This window comes from Homo sapiens, chromosome 15 (assembly GCF_000001405.40).
Source record: "Homo sapiens chromosome 15, GRCh38.p14 Primary Assembly".
NCBI classification, from domain to species: domain Eukaryota; kingdom Metazoa; phylum Chordata; class Mammalia; order Primates; family Hominidae; genus Homo; species Homo sapiens.
Genome location: NC_000015.10, coordinates 41,800,097 through 41,823,427, shown reverse-complemented (window position 1 = coordinate 41,823,427; position 23,331 = coordinate 41,800,097). Strand labels below are relative to the sequence as shown.

General features: G+C 52.0%; 1 protein-coding gene across 5 annotated transcripts in view; it reads right to left on the bottom strand.

Moving 5' to 3' along the window:
• The window catches only part of MAPKBP1 (mitogen-activated protein kinase binding protein 1), a 53,372-nt gene that overhangs the window by 4,428 nt on the left and 25,613 nt on the right, over positions 1–23,331 (bottom strand). The window contains exons 4-29 of one of the 5 annotated variants that reach the window (NM_001128608.2): positions 12,483–12,545; positions 12,193–12,250; positions 11,301–11,471; positions 10,775–10,912; positions 10,327–10,509; positions 10,081–10,098; positions 9,647–9,807; positions 8,689–8,878; positions 8,023–8,169; positions 7,629–7,804; positions 6,778–6,869; positions 6,393–6,518; positions 5,970–6,040; positions 5,693–5,814; positions 5,344–5,419; positions 5,123–5,234; positions 4,846–4,909; positions 4,471–4,605; positions 4,049–4,182; positions 3,778–3,833; positions 2,360–2,596; positions 1,678–1,844; positions 1,318–1,463; positions 1,006–1,203; positions 751–835; positions 206–489 (exon numbers count right to left, since the gene is read on the bottom strand). In NM_001128608.2, coding sequence (NP_001122080.1) covers positions 206–489; positions 751–835; positions 1,006–1,203; positions 1,318–1,463; positions 1,678–1,844; positions 2,360–2,596; positions 3,778–3,833; positions 4,049–4,182; positions 4,471–4,605; positions 4,846–4,909; positions 5,123–5,234; positions 5,344–5,419; positions 5,693–5,814; positions 5,970–6,040; positions 6,393–6,518; positions 6,778–6,869; positions 7,629–7,804; positions 8,023–8,169; positions 8,689–8,878; positions 9,647–9,807; positions 10,081–10,098; positions 10,327–10,509; positions 10,775–10,912; positions 11,301–11,471; positions 12,193–12,250; positions 12,483–12,545 — 3,410 coding nt within the window. The remainder of the gene's footprint in view (positions 1–205; positions 490–750; positions 836–1,005; positions 1,204–1,317; positions 1,464–1,677; positions 1,845–2,359; positions 2,597–3,777; positions 3,834–4,048; positions 4,183–4,470; positions 4,606–4,845; positions 4,910–5,122; positions 5,235–5,343; positions 5,420–5,692; positions 5,815–5,969; positions 6,041–6,392; positions 6,519–6,777; positions 6,870–7,628; positions 7,805–8,022; positions 8,170–8,688; positions 8,879–9,646; positions 9,808–10,080; positions 10,099–10,326; positions 10,510–10,774; positions 10,913–11,300; positions 11,472–12,192; positions 12,251–12,482; positions 12,546–23,331) is intronic. The other 4 variants (NM_014994.3, NM_001265611.2, NR_049761.2 and 1 more) reach the window with 4 other exon arrangements.

The window sequence follows — 23,331 nt, the reverse complement described above, 5'->3', positions numbered from 1 at the left end:
ATACACAGGTCAGGTGTTGAGGAAGGCATCCCAGGTGCCAACACCCAATCCCGAAGAGCTGCTGTTCCCCTCCACATGCCCATTAAGGGACACCTAGTGGCCAGCACAGTGGCACATCAGGGCCACACCAGGCCCTCCCTCCTCCAGCATGTACATGTGTTCCATACACCCTGCACCCTGGCACTGAACCCATCAGGCTTCTCACCCTGTGGCACCAGACTGTGCACAGACTGGGCCTTCTGGAGTCCAGAAAAGGGGCTGGCTGTGGCCACTCTCTTGGGAGCCCAGCTGCTGTCAGGGTTGAGACGGCATCGTGGCAACAGCACAGAGGCTGCCTGCTGGGGGCTGGGGTTGCCAGAGGACGGTTCCACCTCCGGGGGTGCTCCAGGGGGATTGGCACCATTGCCTCTCGGCTGCTCACCAGATGCCTGTGGCACCTGGGCTGGTCTCGACATCAGTGCCAGGCTTGAGGAGGATGGGGATGGTTCCCTACAGGGAGAACATGTGGGAGAAGGCCCAGAGAAGGCTCAATGCTCCTCCCTGCCAAAATGGCGAGAAACTCATAGCACCAGGGCACTAGGAGAGAACAAGCACAAAGCCAGATAGGGCTGGGGAAAGGCCAGTTAGCCCAAAACTGGGAGTGCAAAACACCCCGCGCATGGAGAGACAGAACACTGGAGAGGAGAGGGCAGCAGCCCTGGGAGGCGAGGAGAGCCAGAGCTGCTGCTGGGGGGTAGGGGGCCTCTGTACCTGAGTGGGCGGGTCTGTACTTGCAACAGGAATCGTGAAGAGATACTCCGAGACTCTGACCTCTCTGGGACCTGCACTGGGGCCCCTACCAAGGTCAGAGAAATCATGAATTGGGGCAAAAACCAAGCCCTTGCCCCAGATTTTGCCTCCTTGAGACCCCCAGCCACAGCCTATACCCTGGGACCCTCCTCTCAGGTAGGCAAGGAGGGGAGAAGGGCAAATTGCAGGCACTAAATGCTGGCCCTCTGACCACACCTGGAGCAGCTCCACTGGCCAGAGTCTCAAAGTGCTGTTTTAGAAACTGCTCCTGGTCTGGAGTCTGGGGGCTGCCCTCCTGTAGCCCATAGGGGCCCATGCCTCCCTCCTCTTCTTCCTCTTCTTCATCACCCTCAGCTGGCTCTTCAAGGTCTGAGGAGATGCCATCCACACTGAGGGGCTCCGTGCTCTCAGAGTCTGGGTGTGGGGAGGGGAGAGAGGCATCGCACTGCACCCATCTGTTGCCAGAGCCTCCCCACCCACCTCCAGGCCCCACCCCCCATGGCCCCTCCCTCCAGGCTACAGCCTCACCTTCAGTGGGGTGCTCCGGGCTGGAAAGGCAGCTGCTGCTGTAATCCACAGAGCAGGCACTGTCAGGGCTGTGCTTTTCTGAGCTCCTGCTGCCTGGGTACACTCTTCCCAGAGTTCCCCGGGCTGGAGCCTGCACTTGGAACTCACTGTCAGGATTCCAGCAGGGAGAAGAAAAGGCAGTGAGCAGGGGTAGGCAGCAGCCCCGCTGGACTCCTGCCTGTGATCAGGGTGAGGGATGAGGCAGTGGTGAGCTGGAAGGAAAGCCCTGAGTATCCTGGGGGCCAACCCTCCCTCGACTAAAGAACACTCATAGGGAGGGGAAGACGGGGGCACGGGGTCTGGCTAGGGCAGGATCCTTGCCTGGTATCCATGGTGGGGTTGTCACTCGGCTCCGGGTAGACAATACCATCTTCAATGGGTGCAGGTTCCAGATCTTGGGCAAAGACCCCTTCCTCTTGTGACAATAATCGGATAATATGGGGATAGGAACAAGGTTGGGAAGCCTGAGGCCGAGGGGGCTTTTCATTCTGGGAACACACAAAGGGATGTTAACAGAGCAGAGGTGACAGATGAGGCAGTGGTAGCTGGGGGGTAAGCCCTGAGTATCCTGGGGGCCAACCCTCCCCTTGGAGAAGAGGTGGAGGTGAGTAAGGATGCGGTGTGCACTCATTCAAGGGGAAGCTGAAGGACAGACATCGAGAAGCCAGGCTGGGCTCCAGTTGCTGATGTGAGCTTCTGGATGAACTATATTAGCACTCTGGGCTGCCAACCTCCAGCTACCACTTAATACCAAGAGTCCTCCAAGAAACCCAGCCCAGGGCAAAGGCCACTTTTGCCTCTCTACCCCAACCCCTCCCCTGCCTATCCTGATGACCAAACCATACAGCCCAGCCACCCCCATCCTGGCTTTGCAGTTCAGGTTACCCATGTGCCACAGGGGCAGAGCAAGCATAGCTGGACCAGTGCTCAGGTCCCAGCTGGTGGCAAAGGCTGCCTAAGGCCCCTTGGAACTCTCTAGAGAGCTGGGAGAAAGCAGGCTCACCTGGCTAGTGAGTGAAGTCTCAAGGGCCTCCTGCCCATGCTTCCTGGGACCAGATGGGATGATGGCCAGCGAGTCCTGGCTAGGGTCCTGCAGGCTTGGGGCCAGTGTTTCCAGCTGCCGCAGATCCAGCATGGATCTAACGCTCAGTTCCACACCTGGCTGAACCCAGCGCCCTCTTCTTCTGGGTCCTGGGTTGGCTGCAGGAGCTGGGTCCAGGAACCCCACGGACTCCTGTGCCTGGTGGGAGGTAGGGGGTGGGGGAGGAGTAACAACAACCACACAGTAAGATCAACAAATATCCACATATCCCTTACTATGTGCCTGGCACACTACACATACTAGCTTACTTCATCCTCACAGCAACCTTTTGAAATGGGCACTAGTATAATCCTTGTTTTACAGATGAGGAGACTGAAGCACAGGGGGCTTAAGTGAGCAGTCTGCGTCCCACAGACAGTAAGTGGCCTGCAGATTAGTCTGGCTCCAGAGTTCATGCTCTTAGCTGCATTCCGCATCCTCTGGCACAGGAACCCCTAGTCTCAGCCTTCACCTGGTATCATGGATGCCTCAGAGCTGGGGGTCTCTAAAAGTCTCCTACTCTGAGGACAGCCCCAGCAGCAACCACTTACTACCAAGAGTCCCCCAAGAAATCCAGCCCAGGGCAAAGGCCACTTCTGCCTGTCTACCCCAACCACTCCTTTTGCCTCTCTACCCCAATCACTCCAATAGCTGGGGGCCCCAAAGTCCCCTCACAGCACCAAGGACAAACCTATAGCCCAGGCCTGAGACCCCTGGCCCGGTCAGGGTGCTCCAGAGACACCACAGCATCATCACTCTGTGAAACTGTTGCTGACAACGGAAGGTACTGGTGCTTGGGAACTTGCTCTGAACACCTTGATCCCCCTTTGGCCACCCCAGGGCAGTCGCTGAGTTATGGGTCCCCTCATGGCCTTTTCCCTCTAACTATTCTGGAAGTTCTCCGCTTACCTCCTAACCGGGATCTTTAGAACTGTTTCTCCAGATCTCCGCTCTTTGGATCCTTGATTTCCTGCATTTTAGTTCTAACTATCTGGCTTAGGGGTCCTTTGTCCTCTCCACCTTGAGCTCTTCTCTGATGATATTTACTTCCAGGCACCAGGCAGCTGAACAAGTGCCCCACCTCCCCAGTGCTGACTAACCCTGTGCTCCATCCACCCCAACTGGTCCACAGGAAGGAAATACCTGGGCTTTCTTCACCCCCGCACCCAGGACCAGCCCAGCTGCTTCAACTTCCCCGACAAGGCCTTCCTTGGACACACGAGTGCAGCATGTGGGCAGACCCCATGCCCCAGTACCCTACCAGGCCCAGAGAGCCCTGTTCTCACAGCTCCCTTTGCCTCCTCTAACCTTGGAAGAACATTTTAACAATGGCGACTCACCCGACTCATCTCCCAGTGGGACAGGCTTCGGGGCAAAGCTGGGCTGGGGACCGAGGCTAGACAGAAACAGGCAGTCAGAGGAAGTGTCTCCTGCCCCCCCCCCGCCACCCAACCCTGGAGCCCTGGCCCCATCAGCCCATACCCTGTGTGGCCACAGTGATGCCTCAGTTTCCTCAGCTCACACTGCTCTCACCCCACAGTCTCAGAAAAACCATATCTAGCCATTATACCAACTAGGGCCTGTCTGCCCCCACACCCAACTGCCACAGACCCAGTGCCTTCTTGGTACTCTTGGCAAGGACGGGCAGTGCTGGAAGTTCTTCTTCAGTCCCCTCATCTTCTCCCTCCTTGTCACTGTCTGATGAGAGAGCCGGTCCAGGAGACAGCATTGATGGGGCCTGGTGCCTGAGTCCGAGACAAGGAAGGGCATGGGGAGAGGAGACTCAATAGGGGGAGAGGAGGCTCAGTGGGGGAAGAAGGAAGAGGAGACTCAATGAGGGGAAGATGAGACTCAATAGGGGGAGAGGAGACTCAACAGGGGGAAGAGGCTGACATCATGGATCCTTGTGTGAGAGGTAAGGTCTTGGGAGACAGAGTTGCTGAATGGCAGGCCCAAAGCATGGAGGAAGTGCAGTGAGGTCCCAGCAAGCCATCTGCACACCCACCCATCACTTGCCCACATTCTGTTCTCACCGGTTGGGTCCAGAAGCCCTTTGGGGAGAGGATGGTCCTTGCTGCTTGCCGCCCCGCTGACGCTGGCGCAACTCGGCCAGACGCTGCCTCATGCTGATGGTCATCTCAGAGCTCAGGCGCCACACAAATATGCAGCTGGGGTAAAGCCACACAGTTGGCTGAAGGAGGGGCAGGTAGAATGGCTAGCGCCATTCGTTCCCCTTATCCATGGATGGCAAGGAGACCAGAGCCACCCTCCACTTCAGGTCAAGCACAGCCAAAAGCTATCCCTGTTAACCCCACTTCCCAGAGACATCACTGAAATGGAGAGAGGGGAGGGCAGGGTGCTGTGGCAGAGTAAGAATCTGCCTCTCAGGGAAGCTGGCTTCTGCTCACCTGTCCCCAGACACAGAGATGAGATGTTTACAATCATTACTAAATTTCATGCCAGTGACAATCTCTGTGAAGAACAAAGAATACGGTCTATAAGCCACCTTAAATTCCCAACCAAGTCCTCTCCATCCCAACAGTGGACACGGGGGTTGGCTGCAGGGTAGGGATAGGTAGCTCTGCGGGTCCCAAGAAACTAATAGAAGAGTGAAGTTCCAGGGGTGGAACTCACTCAGGTTTACGCAGGTATCAGCTTCTACTCGGGGATTCAGGCTACACTCACCTGAGTGGCCAAACATGGTGGCCACGCACTCGCCTGAGGAGAAGTCAAAAATGGAGAGATTCTTGTCAGAACAGCTGGTGGCAATGTAGATCCCTGAGGGGTCTGTCTGCACCTGAGGAGTAGCAGGGTGTGCAGCTGGAGGACATGGGAAGTACCAGTCCCTCCCACCCAGCACCACTCTGTCCCCGAGCCCCTGTCCAGTACCCCCTCTGGGTCCTTACCTTAATGAGTGTGCCGTCCTCACCCTGTGACCCTTTAAACAGCTTCTTCTGCTTTCCACTGCTGATGTTAAATATCCTGTAAGAAACATAGTCTCTTTCTCATGAGGAGGCGGTGAAGGTGGAACACGCCTGGGGGATGGAAATGCCAGCTTTCACTCCCAGTCTACACTCTCTGGGAGCTACCCCCAGCAGCAAACAGGCTACCACCTCTTGGGTGAAGCAAAGTACTGTAGGCTCAAGGGGGTACAAAGTCCTGTACAGAACGACAGATGTGGGAACTTAGCTGCACAGAGCTGACCCCGTAGGGAGATGAAGGAATGTGGGCAGAGTCTGAGGAGGGGACGCCCACCGAATATTTCGGTCCTGGCAGCCGATAGCCGTGTACTTCCAGCTGGGCTCCACATCCATGTCATAGAGGGTCGTCTTCCGCACCACGTGGTGTGTCCGTGTGAACTGCACTCCATCTCCAGACTGCAGGGGTGGAGCATGTGGGCAGGCCCACACCCAAATGCCTCACCAGGCCCCAAGAGCCCTACTTGCGCCTCCCTTCACCTCTTGTAACCTTAGGCAGGGAATGGCAGACCCCGCCCTGTCCCGCCCCTCTCAGGAAAGCCCAGCGCCCTCACCTTCTGCGCAGTGCGGAAGTAGATGCTCTTGTCTGCTCCACAGCTGATCATGCGGACTTGCCCATCACTGGCTATGAAGGAGGGAAGCCCAGCTGTTCCCACTGTTCTCACCACATGGGAGCAGCCTGCCTCCCACCTTCCCTCCATGAGATCCCCCATCAAGCTACTCTACATGCCAGGGAAAACCAACTAAATTAAACCTGGAAACCCAGGTTTTCCTGTCTCCTTATCCTCAGTCCAACCTGGTTGGCTCAAGTCCCAGCACTGAGAGTCTCTGTTCCACCTATCTTCCCAACCAGCTCCAGGCCTCCCAGCTGCTGTCCAACACTCCCCCACAATGGGCAGACCCTTCTCATGGAGGTGGGAGGCAGATGGCAGCAGGGGTGAGAGTGGCAGGATGTGTCTCATTCACCCTGCCCGCACCTGCAAACTTAACAGCAGTGATGGAGGATGAGTGTTCGTCCAGCGTCTGCTGTAGGCTGTACTCCCGCCCGGCATCCAGCACATGGATCAGCCGGTCCCGGCTCGCCGATGCTAGCAGTTTCAGACCTGGGGATGAAAGAACTCCATCAGCCCATGAGTGCCCTGAACAGCCCTTATCTGGGCCTGGCAAAGAGCCCCAAGGGAACTGAGCCCCATATCCCCAAGCCATGTGAACCATGGAGCAAGGACAGAGCTGTCTTCCTCTAAACCAGCAAAGACACCAATGATCCAAAGATTACCGACCCCACGTCCAAGAGCCGGGACAGATATAAGTGGCACCGGCAGGACTGGAGGAGCCCTGTGCCATTCCGGGCATTCTCCTAACCTGTGTCTGGCTTAGAATACTCCAGGCACAGAATCTCAGAGTCATGGGCCTCCACCTTCAGCATCTCACTCAGGGACTGAAGTTCGTGCACCCTGCAAAGATGAGGAGAGGTGGGAAGAGGCCATGGCCAGGCCGCAGGAAGGACTCACGCCCCCTCCTCTGCTACATTTTCTCCTCCTTTTTCCTTTTTTTGAACTTTTAGGCTTAGAGAAAAGTTGCTGAAAGAACAGAGAGCGTCTATATTTCCCTTACCCAGCTTTCCCTAATGTGAACATCTTACATAACGATAGTGCAATTATCAAAACTAGGAAATTTATGTTGGTATAATACTATTAATTAGAGACCTTATTCAAATTTCACCAGTTTTCCTACTATGTCCTTTTTCTTGACTCTAGATCCTATCCAGAATCCAAATTGCATTTAGTTACTTCTCCTTAGACTTCTGTGGTCTGTAACAGTTCTCTGGTCTTTCCTTACTTTTCATGATCTTGACGTTTTTGAAGAGTATTGATCAGTTACTCTGTGGTATGTACCTCAATGTGAGTTTGTCGGATGTTTTCTCACGCCTATATTGAGTTTATGCATTTTTGGTAAGAATACCACAGAAACATTGTCACATCCTTCTTAGTACATCCTATCATGGGCTTAATGATGTTGATATGAGGATGTTAACCTTGATCACTTGGTGAAGATGATTTCTGCTAGGTTTACTCATTGTGAAGTTATTATCTTTGCCTTGTAAATAAGTATCTTGTTGCCCAATCTTTTTGAGCCAAACCCTCCCTAAAGTTCTAAATACCCAACTCTGCACCATGAGAGGCAGTCAGTACCCACCCAGGGCCTGGCATTACCTAAGTGTGCCCATACGGTCCCCTGATGCTAGATGCTGTCCATTGGGGCTGACACACACCGAGCGGATGCCCACGCGGGGATCCAACAGGGATGCATCAGCTTTGTCTCCTCCAGGCAGCTCTGTGTCCAGCAGGGCCTGGGTGTTCCCATCCACATAGATGATTTTAATGAGGTCCTAGTGGAACAGGTTAGAAAAGGTGGATGAGGCAGGCCTGACCAGTACAGCTGCAAGGGGCAAGAAAGCTGAGCAAAACAAACCCTTGGACCACAGAGCACAGCCAAATGAAGGCTGGAAGGCCAAGGCCTAGGGACCAGTTCCCAGTAACAAGGTGCAATAGCTGTGGGGATGGGGGCACTGAGGGTGAAGCGGGGCCCCACAGCCTCAGGGCTCACACTGCTGAGGATGTTTCGGTGGAGGGTGGAGCCATGCACCCCGGAGCTCTCTGTGTTCCACAGGCGGATGGTGTTGTCTGAGGAGCAGGTAATAAAGGAACTGGGGGGCAGGCAGGCCTGGTTACTATCCTTCACCTCGGGGTAGACCTGAAGAGGCCGAGGGAACACAATCAGACCTCCATTCGGGAGCAGTCCTCTGCCTACCCAAGGAGATGGAAGGGAATGGGACGAAAAAGGGAATGGTGGCCAGGACTTAGCCCAGTGCCTGTCACAGGCCATACATAACTGGTATATACCCTTCAACATGACCAAGGGGAAGCACCCACTATATATCAGGCACTCTTCTATGTCTCCCACTTACATTATTTCATTTTATTCTTAGAACAATTAGGTGAATCAAGTACACCATTTTACAGGTGAGGAAACTGAGGCTTGGTCAAATTCAATAACTTGTCCAAGATGACCGAGGCAAAACTAAGGATGGGGCACACTGGGGAAGCCTGTAACATTCAAACTCAGTCCCCAGGATCTATCCCAGGGAAGTCACTGGAGAAACAGGGAGGCAGCAGGAATCTAAGATTATACTTGGGGATCCCTATTTTCTGTCCTCAAAATGGTATCCCAGCCAACCTGGCCAGTCTCCAGCCAGCCAGCCAGCCCACATACCTCCACACTCCAGACGCAGGAAGAATGATACAGAGCCGAGTACACCTTGCCCACTTTCTTGGGGTCCCTCACATCCCAAACATAAATGCTATGATCGTTGTACACACAAGACAGCCACTGATTAGTAGGATCAAAGGTCAAGGCAATGGTGTCTGGATACCTGGCATTCGCCACTCCAGAGAAGAGGCGACTGTAGGGAGAGGACAGGGCACACTGGTCAGACTGAAGGGAATGAAAAGAGAAGCCAATCCACAATGGAAGGAGCAGTGTGTGAGGAGCCCTCCCTGGACCTGCAGGTTTGGAAGTAGTTGCTTGAGAGAAGAAAGGAGCCCCTACTAGCCATCAGCAGGAACCTGACCCAGCACTAGCTGCTGGGCCATGGTGTTCGGATGAACACAGCTTCACAGAACACCAACGTTAGACAAGGTACTTCTATGGCTGTGATGGGGCAAAACAAAAACAAGACTACTCTGTGCACAGATAAAAACAAGATCACCATACAAACCACAACGAACCATGACAATGACCAAACACCGCCTTTCCCATCTACATGACTGCTGGCGGCTTCTTGACCAAATACAGCTTTAGCCCCATACCTTTCCTTCACCTCTTAGATAAATTAACAAGATGTTCCACTGTAGAATTGCCCCTAGTTCCGGACAGCATCCAACCAGAATACTTCAATCCCTTGAACGATTCCTAAAATCACCCAACGCAAACCCAAATCCCATATGTCCCTCCTAACACCCACTTACTGAGACTCTCCACAGTTCTCCATGGGGTGGGGTCTCCTTGGTTGCAACAAGTACCAATAAACCCAAATTCTTCTGTCTAAAGAGGTGTTCCCAATAATCTTTGGGGCATCAATACACTCTTCACCTGCTCCCTGAGGCACTGACAAGAAAGACTGGGCAGGGGTAAGGCTACAAATGGAGGAAGGGGGGCCCACATAGCTCACCTGGCCTCGGTGACGCTAGCAATGTCTGTCCCCAGAGCATGGGGTCGGGGCAAGGTGCTAAGGAAGTGCAGGTTAGAGGGGTTGAAAAGGCGCACGGTGCCATCAGCACAGCCACAGAAGATGTAGTCTTGGCTCACAGAGATGCAGTGGGCCACTGTGGTCTGTGGGCAGAGTGGCTCAGCTCAGCAAGGCCACCTGCCCACTCAGTCTTCTCTCCTCCCCACCCATCAACAGCCACCTGCCAAGAGGAGGGACCGGCCAAGGCAGGGGCAAGGGAAAAGCCGCCCAGCTGCCCTGTTCTGAGCCCCTCAGCCCTGTCCAGCCAGGGATTAGGAACCGAGGATTCTTCTAGGCACCAGAGGATCCAGTAGGAAAAGCCCAGTGAAGAGAAAGAAATAGCATGAGAAAGAGAGGAAGGTGCAGGCACCACTTACTGTGAAGCTGTCTATGTTCTGAGCGGAAGAGGAAAGCAGGGGAAAGAGACAGAAAGAGCAGAGAGGAGGCAGTTATACAGATCACCAAGGGCTGGAAATGGGCCAAGCTCTAGCTCCCCCAAGCTTCGTTCTCCTGGGATCTCCCGTATGCACAAGGGACCAGCCCCTAGTCTGAAGCCCTGGGCACTAGTTCTCCCCTGAGCTGAGACATGAGCAGACCCTACCCCTGGGGACGGAGGTACTTACCCTCAGCTCCACCCACTTGTCCAAAAGCCTTCGATCACTGAACTCGCACAGCAGCCCTGAGGACGTGATGCAGAAGGTACTGTCCGCCTTTTTTCCTCTGCCACAGGCCACATCAGTGAATAGGTTGTTCCGTAGCTCTCCCAGCAGCCCTGAGCGGCCCAGCAAGGGCACAGTGGCATTCACCTGTGGAGGCACACCACTGTTACACCCCCATCCACCCCAGAGCCTGCCCCTGGAAACTGGGCCCTAGGAGAGTACAGGGGACGCCTCCAGCACCTCCTTGCTCTTTGGGCCTACTCCTCAGCCCAGACAGCATCTGGCTCATCCAAAACTTCTGCATGACTGCTGGGAATGCAGAGAGAGGCCCAAGTGGGGCAGAGTCTCCTGGGTTGGGCTGGGCAGGCCCTGCCAGGGGCCTTGGTGGCTACTCCCAGCTTCAGCACCTCACCTTTGAGGTCTTGCTGTCATCGAGATACCAGAATTTGATGTGTCGGTTGCCTGCAGTGACAAAGTAGCTGCAATCCTCAGAGAAGGACACTGCTGTCACCCGACTGGACACCTTGTTGGAGGCCACCACAATGTTTTTCTGGAGGGGATGCCAAAGGAAGAATCAAGGCTCTGTCTCTTGGAGCTAAGAAGACAGTGACTCAGAGAATGGAGGAGAATTAGAATTTGTACTTGACAAAGTGTTTCTTTCCAGAATTTACTGGCCAGAAAAAGAGGGGTAGGGAAATAATCCCTTTCTAGAGGAGCTGAAAAGATTCGTTTCCTGCAGAAGTCTTTGAAGGCATAAAGCTAGCCCCTTCAACCAACATGCTTGGCCACACAGTTGCTCTTTTCTGCTTCAAATAACTTTCTAGAATGAGAATGGTTCAGTGGGGTGGAATGGAGCAGTGCAGGTCAGCAGTCTCTTGCCTCCCCAGCTGACACTTGACCCCTGTGAGGCTGCCAGGCCACCCCACCCAGCCACTCACCTTCCAGGCCCACACGTTGACGATCATGTCATGCTGGTAGCCCACAGAGACAATGTACTTGGCGCTAGGAGAGAAGGCCACACAAGCCACACCATACTTGTGCTCCTGCAGCTCGGCCACCTGGCTGTGCTCTGCCACGTCCCAAACCCGCACGGCAGGCATGTGCCCACTCTGCAGGGAGGCAAGAACTGGAAGTGAGTTCTTGACTTCTCCACAGGCATACAGCCCCACTTCGTCTTCCAGAGCGGGGCCCTCGCCTCCTCAGCTACTAGATACCATCACTTCCCCAGCCAAAAGTCAGGGCAGGGTATAGAGGAAATATGATAAAGATCTGAGGGCAACAGTGATTACCAGGAAGAAAGTGGCCCCGGATTTTAGTCAGCATCTCTGGGTGGCCGTCTGTACTTCAGGTTGTTCAAAGCTCCCTGAATGGTTCTGATGGGCAGCCGGCATTGAGAGCCACTACCACTCAGGTCTATTTCTGCCCCTAGTAAGACTACGCCGCCAGGACAGAAGCGTTCCTCCTGAGCCCAGCAGGGGGCCCCCGGGGGTAAGGAATAGTTAAGGCAGTGGTTTCCAAAGCACGCTTCCTTCACCAGCAGGATCAGCACTCTCTGGGAACTTGTTACAAATGCACATTTCAGACTCCCATCCCAGACCTACAGAATCAGAAACTCTGAGGACCAGGCTAGTGATGTGTGCTTTCACAAGCCCTCCAAGTGATTCTGATGTACACTAAAGCTTGAGAACCACTATTTTAAGGTATAGCGAAAACCAGGATTTGGTGTCTGTTTCAGAAGCCAAAGTGACAGCAGGCCTAGGACCGCAGCTCTCTGCGGAGGCCAGGACACCTGCCCTCTTTACAGTACTGCCAGCCCTCTTCCTCACTCACCTCTCCAGTGACCAAGTACTTGCCATCAGGGGAGAAGGCAAGGGCAGTGATGGTTTTCCTGCAAGAGATGGGGCAGGCTCAGAGGGGCACTGGCAGCCTGGCCTAAGCCTAGCCCCCTCCCAGCCTCTCAAAAGGTGAGACCAGCAGACACCAATGGCACATGTGGCACTTCCCCATCTGGCTTTAGGACCCAACCAGGTCCCAGCCCCCAGAGCCATAGAGACTCTAGACAGTGCCCTTCTCATAGCTCCCAGAAGGAAGAGGTATCCTGAGGACCCCAGCCCATTTACCTGGAACTGTTGAGGATGTGGTGCTGTTTGTGTTTCCGGGGATTGAACAACACAACCACACACCTGAGGAGATGAGCAGACAACAGGCTCAGCAGCAAACCACAGCTCCCCCAGGAGCCCTCCAGGCCACCCAGGACTTCCAGTCACCCGGCAGAGGGAGCTGGGTAGAAAGAGCTCAGAAGGGCTCCACTGTTTTTTTCCTTTTCTTTTTTTTTTTTTTTTTTTTTTGAGACAGGATCTTACTCTGTCATCCCAGCCAGAGTGCAGTGGTGCAAACATGGCTCAGTGCAGCCTCAACTTGCAGGTTCAAGCAATCCTCCCACCTTAGCCTCCCTAGTAGCTGGAACCACAGGCATGTGCCACCATGCAAGCTAATCTTTGTATTTTTTTTTTTTTTTTTTTGTAGACACGGGATCTTGCCACGTTGCCCAGGCTGGTCCCAAACTCTTGAACTCAAGTGATCTGCCTCCCAAAGTGCTGGGATTACAGGCATAAGCCACCGTGCCCAGCCTCCACTGCTTTCTCCTGGCAACCTGTTCTTGCTCCTTTTCCCCACCCAAGAGGAACTATCTCTGTAGCCCCATGAGGGTGAAAGGGTTCCCTGGAAGCCTGTCCCCCCAGCCAGGCCCCTAAATACCAGCTCTATCTCTGGCCATACCCACAAAGGGCAGCAGGGACACAGGCCATCCCGCAGCCCTTGTGCATACCCCAGGAAGGGGTGTAGGAGGGAAGAAGAAATGTGATTTGGGCAAAGCAGGCCTCGGGTGCACAGCCCGTTCACAGGCTTGGGGCCACACGTGTATCAAGCATGTGTGCCTTAAGATGTAAGGCCTCTCACGTGTGCACCCACGTGTGTACCTGGCAAGAGCTGGCCCCCCACACCATGTGTTGAATAAGGAAGGAAGTGGGAGGCGAGGCAGGGGCCACACAGCAGAGAGGCTCAGTAAGATGGGGTGGGGGATAGAGATAGCCTGAGAAGGCCTGGGAAAGCCTTACAGTGCCACAGAGGTCCCAAGCCCCACCCTGAGAATCTCTGGCCCCAAGAAACCTGAGAAGAACCCCCCGACTGCCAGAAGCAGAATCAGGGACTCTGCCTGCCTCACAGAGAAGGTGGGGGCAACCTCTCCCGTCAGGCAGCAAGGCTGCTGGATGGAATCAGGTCCTGCCTTTCCAGAGGCAGCTCCGGAGATGGAAGCTGGGTAGTAGGAATCGGGGGCAAGAAGCCAAAGGCCAATAGCCAGGCAGCTTCTCTTTAGGCTTCCTGGCTGTCAGCAGGCCCTGGCCCGTTGCCCCTTCTGCCTCAACTCTTCATTAGCACTGGAAATAGCAGACAAGAGCAAGCCTGGAGACTGCGAATAGGAAAGGCAGGGAGGAGAGAAAGAGGAGACAGCTACTTCCCCCAGACCTAATTTTCCCTAGTGGGACCCCACTGCAGCCCCCATATCTGAACGCCACTACTGGCTGGAAACTTGAAGGGAGGTAGGTGCAAGTTGCTAGTGAGGGCTAAGCATCTTGGGCTCAATAAACCACTTTGATATGCAAATTTGGGGACACTGGGACCTCCGATGTGACTAGATATGCCCAGAACTGCCAGGCTGACCAACAGCTGTGGAATTCCTGAGTCACATCATTTTCTCCTCTAACCCCTCAACTCTTCCTGTTTTTTTTTCCTCCTTCTTTCTCCATTTCCTACTCTTTCCTTGTTCCTGTTTCCTTTCTCTGTTTTTTTGAGACAAGGTCTCACTATGTTGCCCAAGCTGGTCTTGAACTCCTGGGCTCAAGTAATCCTCCTGCCTCATCCTCCCAAGTAGCTGGGATTACAGGCTCATGCCACCCTGGCTCAGCCCTTCCTTCATTTTTTTTTTTTTTTTTGAGGCAGGGTCTCGCTCTGTCACCCAGGCTGGACTGCAGTGGCACCATGGCACCATCACAGCTCCCTGCAGCCTCGACCTCCTGGGCTCAAGCAATCCTCCCACCTCAGCCTCCCAAGTAGCTGGGATTACAGGCACATGCCACCATACCCAGTTAATTTTTGTATTTTTTGTAGAGATGGGGTTTTGCCATGTTGCCCAGGCTGGTCTTGAACTCCTTTCTCTTTTTATACCACTTTCTAGTCTCCTGCTTCCCCTTCTAGAATGTCACAGTCAGGAGGGTTTTAAAAAGTATGACAGGCCGGGCACAGTGGCTTATGCCTATAATCCCAGCACTTCGGGAGGCTGAGACAGGCAGATCACCTGAGGTCAGGAGTTCGAGATCAGGCTGGCCAACATGGTAAAACCCCATCTCTACTAAAAATACAAAAATAAGCCAGGTGTGGTGGTGGGTACCTGTAATCCCAGCTACTTGGGAGGCTGAGGCAGGAGAATTGCTTGAACCCAGGAGGTGAAGGTTGCAATGAGTTGAGATCATGCCATTGCAGTCCAGCCTGGGCGACAAGAACTAGACTCTGTCTCAAAAAAAAAAAAAGTACGACAAAAGCAAGATGGCTCTGGAAACTCTGCACCCCATCGCTCTTGAGCAGGCAAACGAAAATTATAACAGAGCCGGGAGTGGTGGCTCACGCCTGTAATCCCAGCACTTTGGGAGGCTGAGGCTGGCAGATCACGAGGTCAGGAGATCGAGACCATCCTGGCCAACATGGTGAAACCCCATCTCTACTAAAAATACAAAAATTAGCCAGGCGTGGTGGCGGGCACCTGTAGTCCCAGCTACTGGGGAGGCTGAGGCAGGAGAATGGCGTGAACCCAGGAGGCGGAGCTTGCAGCAAGCCAAAATCACGCCATGGCACTCCAGCCTGGGTGACAGAGCGAGACTAGGTCTACAAAAAAAAAAAAAAAAAAGAAAGAAAGAAAGAAAATTATAAGAGTTCAAAGTGCACAGATTTAGATTTTTTTTTCTTTTTTTTTTGAGATGGAGTCTCACTCTATCACCCAGGCTGGAGTGCAGTGGCGTGATCTCGGCTCACTGCAACCTCCACCTCCCGCGTTCAAGCAATTCTTCTGTCTCAGCCTCCCCAGTAGCTGGGATTACAGGCACCCATCACCAAGCCTGGCTAATTTTTTTATATTTTTAGTAGAGATGTGATTTCACTATATTGGTCGGCTGGTCTCAAACTCCTGACCTCAGGTGATCCACCCACCTTGGCCTCCCAAAGTGTTGGGATTACAGGCGTGAGCCACTGTGCCCAGCCAAATTTAGATATTTAGGTTTTAATACTTTATGCAGTATATGAAAAGTAATAGCCCCAGGCCTGCCACTATCATGAATTCAGAGCCCAGAAAGTTCTCAGTGGTTAAACAACGTTTTCTGAACCTTCCTGCAATCTGTGCTGACCTGAGGCCCTCTACAGACTCCTCTCTCCAGCAAAGGCTCTAGTCTGAATGGGGACAGGTTCCCTAGCCTTCTGATTAGTTACACAGGAACCACAGTAAAGGGCTTCAGCTGAGAGTTGATCTAATTGAATTGACTCGATGCATAATCCAGCCAACCATATTCCAAATCCAGAAAAACTGGGATCTATTTGCAAGTTTATGAGTTTTCCCTTAATTCTCATCCCAAAGCAGCATTTCAGCCTTTAAAGGGTAGTGCATCAGACTGCTTAAAACACTTTCCAAGTCACTGCATACAAACTCAGTCTTCCTGGGACACAATATCCTCTGTTTCCTCCTTCTCCTATGTTCAGCTCCATGGTGGAAGAAGGGTGAATGATGCATGTGTGTGTGTGTAGGAACACTACGTAGATAGAAGGATGACTGGCTAGAGGCAATGAGGCAATTTCTCCCTCCTCTAACATCCCCTTGCCCCCAGTATAGCCTAAGAAATTCTCAGGTGTGCCATGGAAGAGCTAAGCAAGAAAAGGAAACACACAGAGGTCATCCCTTAAGCAACTATTTTTATTTCTAATTATTGATATTTGGAAGCCATCCAACAAGAGAAAGACAGCATGCAACCACGGTCGCAGCTACACATGCAGGGACGATAACGCAGATGCTGAAGTGAGAGCAGCATAGCCAGGGCTCCTTGTGTGCTTGACTTGAGGCCCTCCTGACCTGTTCTCAAAAGCACCAAGGAGCCCTCTCAGCCTTCTTGGTGAACTCTGAGCAAGCTCCTAGGTCAGCTGGGGAGAGGAGTGCGGGGCACAGTTTGTATCAATCTTTCTCTCCACATCCCCTGACCCTGCCCAGCAGGGTGAGCCCTTGCTCAGTGCTGGCTGGGATCCACCACATGCCAAGGGCTGGGTTGGACCAATCAGCTGAGTCCTGCAACTCAGCACCTGAGGGTGCAGGGCGGCTGCTCACTCTCACAGAAGGACGTAAGGCCTCAGCCTGGGGGAGTCACGCTGTGGAGTACCAGTGCCAGGTGCTGGGCCCACTGCCCAGGAAGGGCCAAGCCTTCAACATCCCCCTTCCCTACACAGGTCCAGGCCTGCTGCTACCACAAAGAGCCCAGGATTCCCATAGGATCCACCTCCTACCACTCTCCATCCCCCAGATGGGATGAGCTATGCATGGGGCAGCACAGACACAGGGAGCAGGACACACAAGGTCAACCAGGGACCCTGGGCCTTTGAATTGTTTTCTTTCAGACCAGGTAAAATCTGAGAATGACTCACAGAAGCATGCCAAAGGGGCTTCTGGCCTCGCTCAAATGTCGCCCTCCAGCCCTATTTATCATTACAACCCTACCTCCGTCACTGCTACCGCTTCTACTGTTTCCAAAGCACACATCAATTTGTAATCACGCTTATAACTTACACTGGGGGTGGGGATCCATCTTCACACACCAGACTGCCAGTTCTGTGAGGATGGTATTTTTGGTCTGTTTTACTTACTGTTAATTTCCCAGGGCCTAGACGATAGGCCCTCAGTAATTATTTGTAAACAAGTGAATATGTCTTCAAGTCACTAGGGGCAAGATCTCAAAGCCCTGGCTGCCAAGGAACCTCCTGGGTAGCAGAGTGTGAATGAGGGCCCTGGGGAGAGGTCCATGGTTCTCCTGTACCTCAGGCATTTAGGACTCCTTGATGCTCAAGGGCAGTGTAGAGGTGGAAAGAGCAGAACACTGAGGTCACAGGCCTGTCTGCTAACACACTGCATGATCCTGGGCACCAAGTCCCAACCTTTTCTTCTCTCAGGCCCACCTGGTCTCTCTACTGTCCCTGGCGAATACCCTACAGCAAGTAAGAAGGTAGCTCTGTGTTCCTTCAGCTCAGGTGTCACGAGAACACAGTTCAGGAGGAGAATTCTGTCACACCCAGTGCAATGCTTCAAAGCTGAGGATCTCAGAATCAATTTTAACATGGGCTGAGGAAATGGAGGGCCTCCTCAGGAGAGCAGGGGTTCCCTCTTCTCCTCCCCACTTAAATCAACCAAGAGGTCTCTTCTTAGCTGCCAGATACACCCCGTCACCTTGCTGGGACACTTCCCATCCCAGCGGGAGAGGAGCAGCTGTGCGCAGGGCACTCACCCAGGCCATTCTGGCATAGGAGCCAGGAGAAACCCATTCTCAGGACTGGGCACAGGGGCACAGGGGCACAGGGGCTGTGCTGGGCTTGAAGGCCCATCAACCTTCCACCAGCTGGCTGAGGAAAAGGCCCAACTCAATTAAGGGTGTTCAACTCAATTAAGTCTCTCAAAGGGGCTGTCTGGCATCCTCTAGTAGGGGGGCTTCCCGTGGGGAAACAACGGCCAAGGGATGTAGGAGCCACTAGGACAGGCTCCATGCTCAGCCTGGAGCTCCTACCCACCTCTGCCTGACACACTGCCCACCCTCCTTTCCTGTGCTGTTCCATTTCCTTTCAGAAAACTTTGTTTTGGTTTGATATTCGCCTCCGGGCCTCAGAGAATTTTCTGAGTTTTGTTTCTCTCCTTGTTTCTAGGATACCTGAGCTGGCTCCCAAAGCAACAGGCACAGGAGGAACAAGAGCGTGGGGGCTGGGGGCAGTGTAAGGATGATCAGATAAGAAAAGCAGGGAGACAAGGAGGGAGGTGAAGAACCTGCTTGTGCTCACACAGAATCTGGTGGCCCCCAACATCACAGCAGCACATCAGGGAGTTCTAGAACACAGCAAAACTCAAACACCCAGAAAAGAAGCCATTTGCACAGACAACTTCAAGTTCTAAGAAATCAAAAGGTCAGGGAACAGATTAGGGGCACTGCCCAGGGATGGCCTAAGCCAAGCATACACGCTTAGGAAACCTACTAGAGGTTCCATCAGGAAAGCCTGTACACCATCTGGAAGGATCATGACTCCCAGGCACATGCACTGGGCTGAGACCTGCTCATAAACATGCATAAGCACATGCCCTTAAAGGCCAGGCCTGGAGTCCAGGGGTGTGTGAGGAAGAAAGCGGGCAGGACTCCACACTCTCCAGGGCAGGGACACAGGTCTCAGCATGCACCAAGCAGCACCCCAAGGCCTTTTTTGCCTGTGCTACATCCAGCCCCAGCCCCACCTCCAACAAGAGGGAACCTGGCTTTCCCAGGCAGAGGCAAGAACAAGTGGAATTCCCCTGAGGCAGGCTGCACAAACTTATCCAGTAGAGAGGTCTTTCCATCAGCTTGCTTCTCTAGGGGAAAATGGAGCCTAGCCCAGCCTTTGCCAGGCAGAGCCCGTGTGGCTCCCACAGCACCCTTACTGCAGCCATTAAACACCAGAGGACCACTTGGGAGAGACACTGACCCCAAACCCAGGGGCAGAAGTCTCCCTTGCACAGACTGAGCTGCCCATAAATGGGGCTCTTCTCATTCAAAGGGCAGGTAGGCAGCTTAGAGGAAAAGCAATTTGTTAAAAATAAGCAGAAAGTGGCCGGGCACAGTGGCTCACACCTGTAATCCCAGCACTTTGGGAGGCCAATGTGGGCAGATCACCTAAGGTCGGGAGTTTGAGACCAGCCTGACCAACATGGAGAAACCCCATCTCTACTAAAAATACAAAATTAGCTGGGCATGATGGCGCATGCCTGTAATCCCAGCTACTCTGGAGGCTGAGGCAGGAGAATTGCTTGAACCCAGGAGGCGGAGGTTGCGGTGAGCTGAGATCGTGCCATTGCACTCCAGCCTGGGCAAGAAGAATGAAACTCTGTCTCAAAAAAAAACAGTGTGGTCTCCCCCTACTCTGTGCCATTTTAACAATCAGAGCTCTACAGTCATACTACTTGGGTTAGAACCCCATTACACACACTAGCTATGTTACCTCAAGCAAACTCCTTAACCCTTTTGGTTTTTTTAAGAGGCAGGGTTTCACTGTGTCACCCAAGCTGGAGTGCAATGGCACGATCATAGTTCACTGCAGCCTTCACCTCCTGGGCTCAAGCAATCCTCCTGCCTCAGCCTCCCCAGTTGCTAGGACTACAGGCACATGCCACCATACCCAGCTAATTTTTTTTATTTTTACTTTTTGGTAGAGACAGGGTTCTCACTATGTTGCCCAGGCTGGTTTCAAATTCTTGGTCTCAAGCAATCCTCCCACCTTGGCTTCCCAAAGCCACTGCACCCTGCCTGCTTAACCTTTTTTTTTTTTTTTTTTTTTTGAGATGGAGTCTTGCTCAGCCGCTCAGGCTGGAGTGCAGTGGCACGATCTCGGCTCACTGCAACCACCGTCTCCCAGGTTCAAGCGATTCTCCCAGCTCAGCCTCCCGAGTAACTGGGACTACCAGCACCCGCCATCACGCCAGGCTAATTTTTGTATTTTGCTAGAGACAAGATTTCACCATGTTGGCCAGGCTGGTCTTGAACTCCTGACCTCAGGTGATCCGCCCACCTTGCCCTCCCAAAGTGCTAGGATTATAGGCGTGAGCCACTGCACTTGGCCTGCTTGACCTCTTTGGATCTCAATTTCCTCCTCTAAAATATGAGGGTGATAATAGTTGCTCAGAGTATTAAATAATTCATATAAAGTGCTTAAAAAGTACCTGGCATAGAATAAGTACAGTCATACGTCACATAATAACATTTTGGTCAACAGCGAAGGGCATGTATGACAGTAGTCCCGTAAGATTATAATGGAGCTAAAATATTCCTGTCACTTAGTGACATCTTGATGATCCTGACCCTATGTAGTTCTATGCGCTAGGCTAATGTGTGTGTTTGTGTCTTTGTTTTTAACAAAAAAGTTTAAAAAGTTAAAAACAACATTTAAAGCTTATAGAAGATAAAAAGAAAATACTTTTGGGTCAGGCACAGTAGCTCATGCCTGTAATGCCAGCACTTTGGGAGGCCAAGGAGGGCTGATCACTTGAGGTCATTAGTTCAAGACCAGCCTGGCCAACATGGCGAAACCCCATCTCTACTAAAAATACAAAAATTAGCCAGGCGTGGTGGCAGGAGCCTGTAATCCCAACTACTCAGGAGGCTGAGGCAGGAGAATCACTTGAACCCAGGAGGCAGAGGTTGCAGTGAGCTAAGATCGTGCCACTGCATTCCAGCCTGGGTGACAGAGGGAGACTCCATCTCGGAAAAAAGATAAAAGAAAGATATTTTTGTATAGCTGTACTGTGTTTGTGTTTTAAGCTAAGTGTTACTACAAGAGTCAAGAAGTTAAAAAAAAAAGTTTATAAAATGTAAGAAAGTTACAGTAAGTTAGGTTAATCTATTATTGAATGTATGTTTTTAAAATAAATTTAGTATGGCCAAGTGTACAGTGTTTGTAAAGTGTACAGTAATGTTTCTGGCACTCACACTCACTCACCACTCACTCACTGACTCACCCAGAACAACTTCCAGTCCTGGAAACTCCATTCATGGTAAGTGCCTTATACAGGTGTGCCTTTTTAAAATATATTTTATATGATATTTTAACCATACTTTTTCTATGTTTAAATATACAAATACCATTGTCTTAGGATTATGTACAGTATTCAGTACAGTAACCTGCTGTGCAGGTTTGTAGCCCAGGCGCAACCGGCTACACCATGTAGCCTAGGTATGTAGTAGGCTATACCATCTAGGGTTTGTGTAAGTATACTCTGTAATGTTCACTCAACAACGAAACTGCCAAATGACACATTTCTCAGAACATATCCCCATCATTAAGTGACACATGACTGTACTTGATTGATAAAGGTAGCTTTTTTTGGTGGTGGCTTGTTTTTTTTTAAGACAGAGTCTCTCTTTGTCGCCCAGGCTGGAGTGCAGTGGCGAAATCTGCACTCACTGCAACCTCCACCTCCTGGGTTCAAGTGATTCTCATGCTTCAGCCTCCCAAGCAGCTGGGACTACCAGCACCCGCCATCACACCCAGCAAATTTTTTTATGTTTTTAGTAGAGACAGGGTTTCAACATGTTGGCCAGGCTGGTCTCCAACTCCTGACCTCAAGTGATCCGCCCACCTTGGCCTCCCAAGGTACTGGGATTATAGGCGTGAGCCACCGGGCCCAGCCTGATAAAGGAAGCTTTTTTGATGAGGTGATAAAACTAAGCAAATCATGTATCTAGTATAAAAACTATAAAAGTTGCTATGAAAATTACATTGGGGAATGAACTAGGCATTAACAAGTTAATGGTAGAGTAAGAAAGGTACAGCAGTAGCGCTACTCATTTTCACATTCCTGTGCCTATCAGCATGGAACAGAGTGAGCCAGAAGCAGGAGGGGTTCCAAGCTTTCTCCAGAAGCCTGAAGAAACTATGGTTGGAGGTTTCCCACTTGTAGGAGCAGAGGAGTGAAAAGGCAGCAAGAGAAAGAATAGTAGCCCCACTCCCCTACTTCTCTTCTATGGCACTGATCTCTCTCAAAGTGACTAGAACAGGCGAATATTCATAATAGCTAAGAAGTAGAAACAACCCAAATGTCCATCAACTGAAGAATAGATAAAATGTGCTACATCCATCCAGTGGAATATTATTCAGCCACAAAAAGGAATAAGGTAGCGATACATGCTGTGACATAGATTAACCCTGAAAACATTATGCTGGCCAGGCGTGGTGGCTCACGCCTGTAATCCCAGCACTTTGGGAAGCTGAAGCGGGAGGACTGCTTGAGCCCAGGAGTTCGAAACTAGCCTAGGCAATAGAGTTAGACCCTGTCTCTACAAAAAAATGGAAAAATTAGCTGGGCATGGTGGCACACACCCATAGCTCCAGCTATTCAGGAGGCTAAGGCAGGAGGCTGAGGCTGCAGTCAGCCATGATCATACCACTGCACTCCAGGCTGGGCAACAAAAAGAAGCCAGTTACAAAAGGCCAAATACAGTGTTACCTGATTCCGTTTATATGAAATATCCAGAATAGGCAAATTAATGGAGACAGTGGTTGCCTAGGGATGAAGGTCTGGTAAGGTGGGGGTGGGAATGAAAAGTGACTGATAGGAATGGGGCCAGGCACAGTGGCTCACGCCTGTAATCCCAGCACTTTGGGTGGCTGAGGCAGGTGGATGGCTTGAGCTCAGGAGTTCAACACCAGCCTGGGCAATGTGGTGAAACCCCATCTCTACAAAAAATTAGCCAGGCATGGGGCAGTGCGCCTGTAGTCCCAGCTACTCGGGAGACTGAGGTGGGAGGATTGCTTGAGTGTCGGAGGCGGAGGTGCAGTGAGCCAACATCGAGCCACTGCACTCCAGCCTAGGCAACAGAGCCAGAACCTGTCTCAAAAAAAAAAGGGAACAAGGTCATGAAAATGTCCTAAATTTGATTGTGGTGATGGGTGCACAACTCTGTGAATATACTAAAAAACTACTGAATTGGGTATTTTAAATAGTGAGTTATATGGTATGTGAATTACATCTCAATAAAGCTGTTTTTTAAATGACTGGAAGGTAGTTACTGAAGATGGTGCTGGGAACTGTGTGTAACATAAAGTGTAAATCTGTGTGTGGGAGGTGGGGTAGATAACTGAAAAGCAGCACAGGATGGC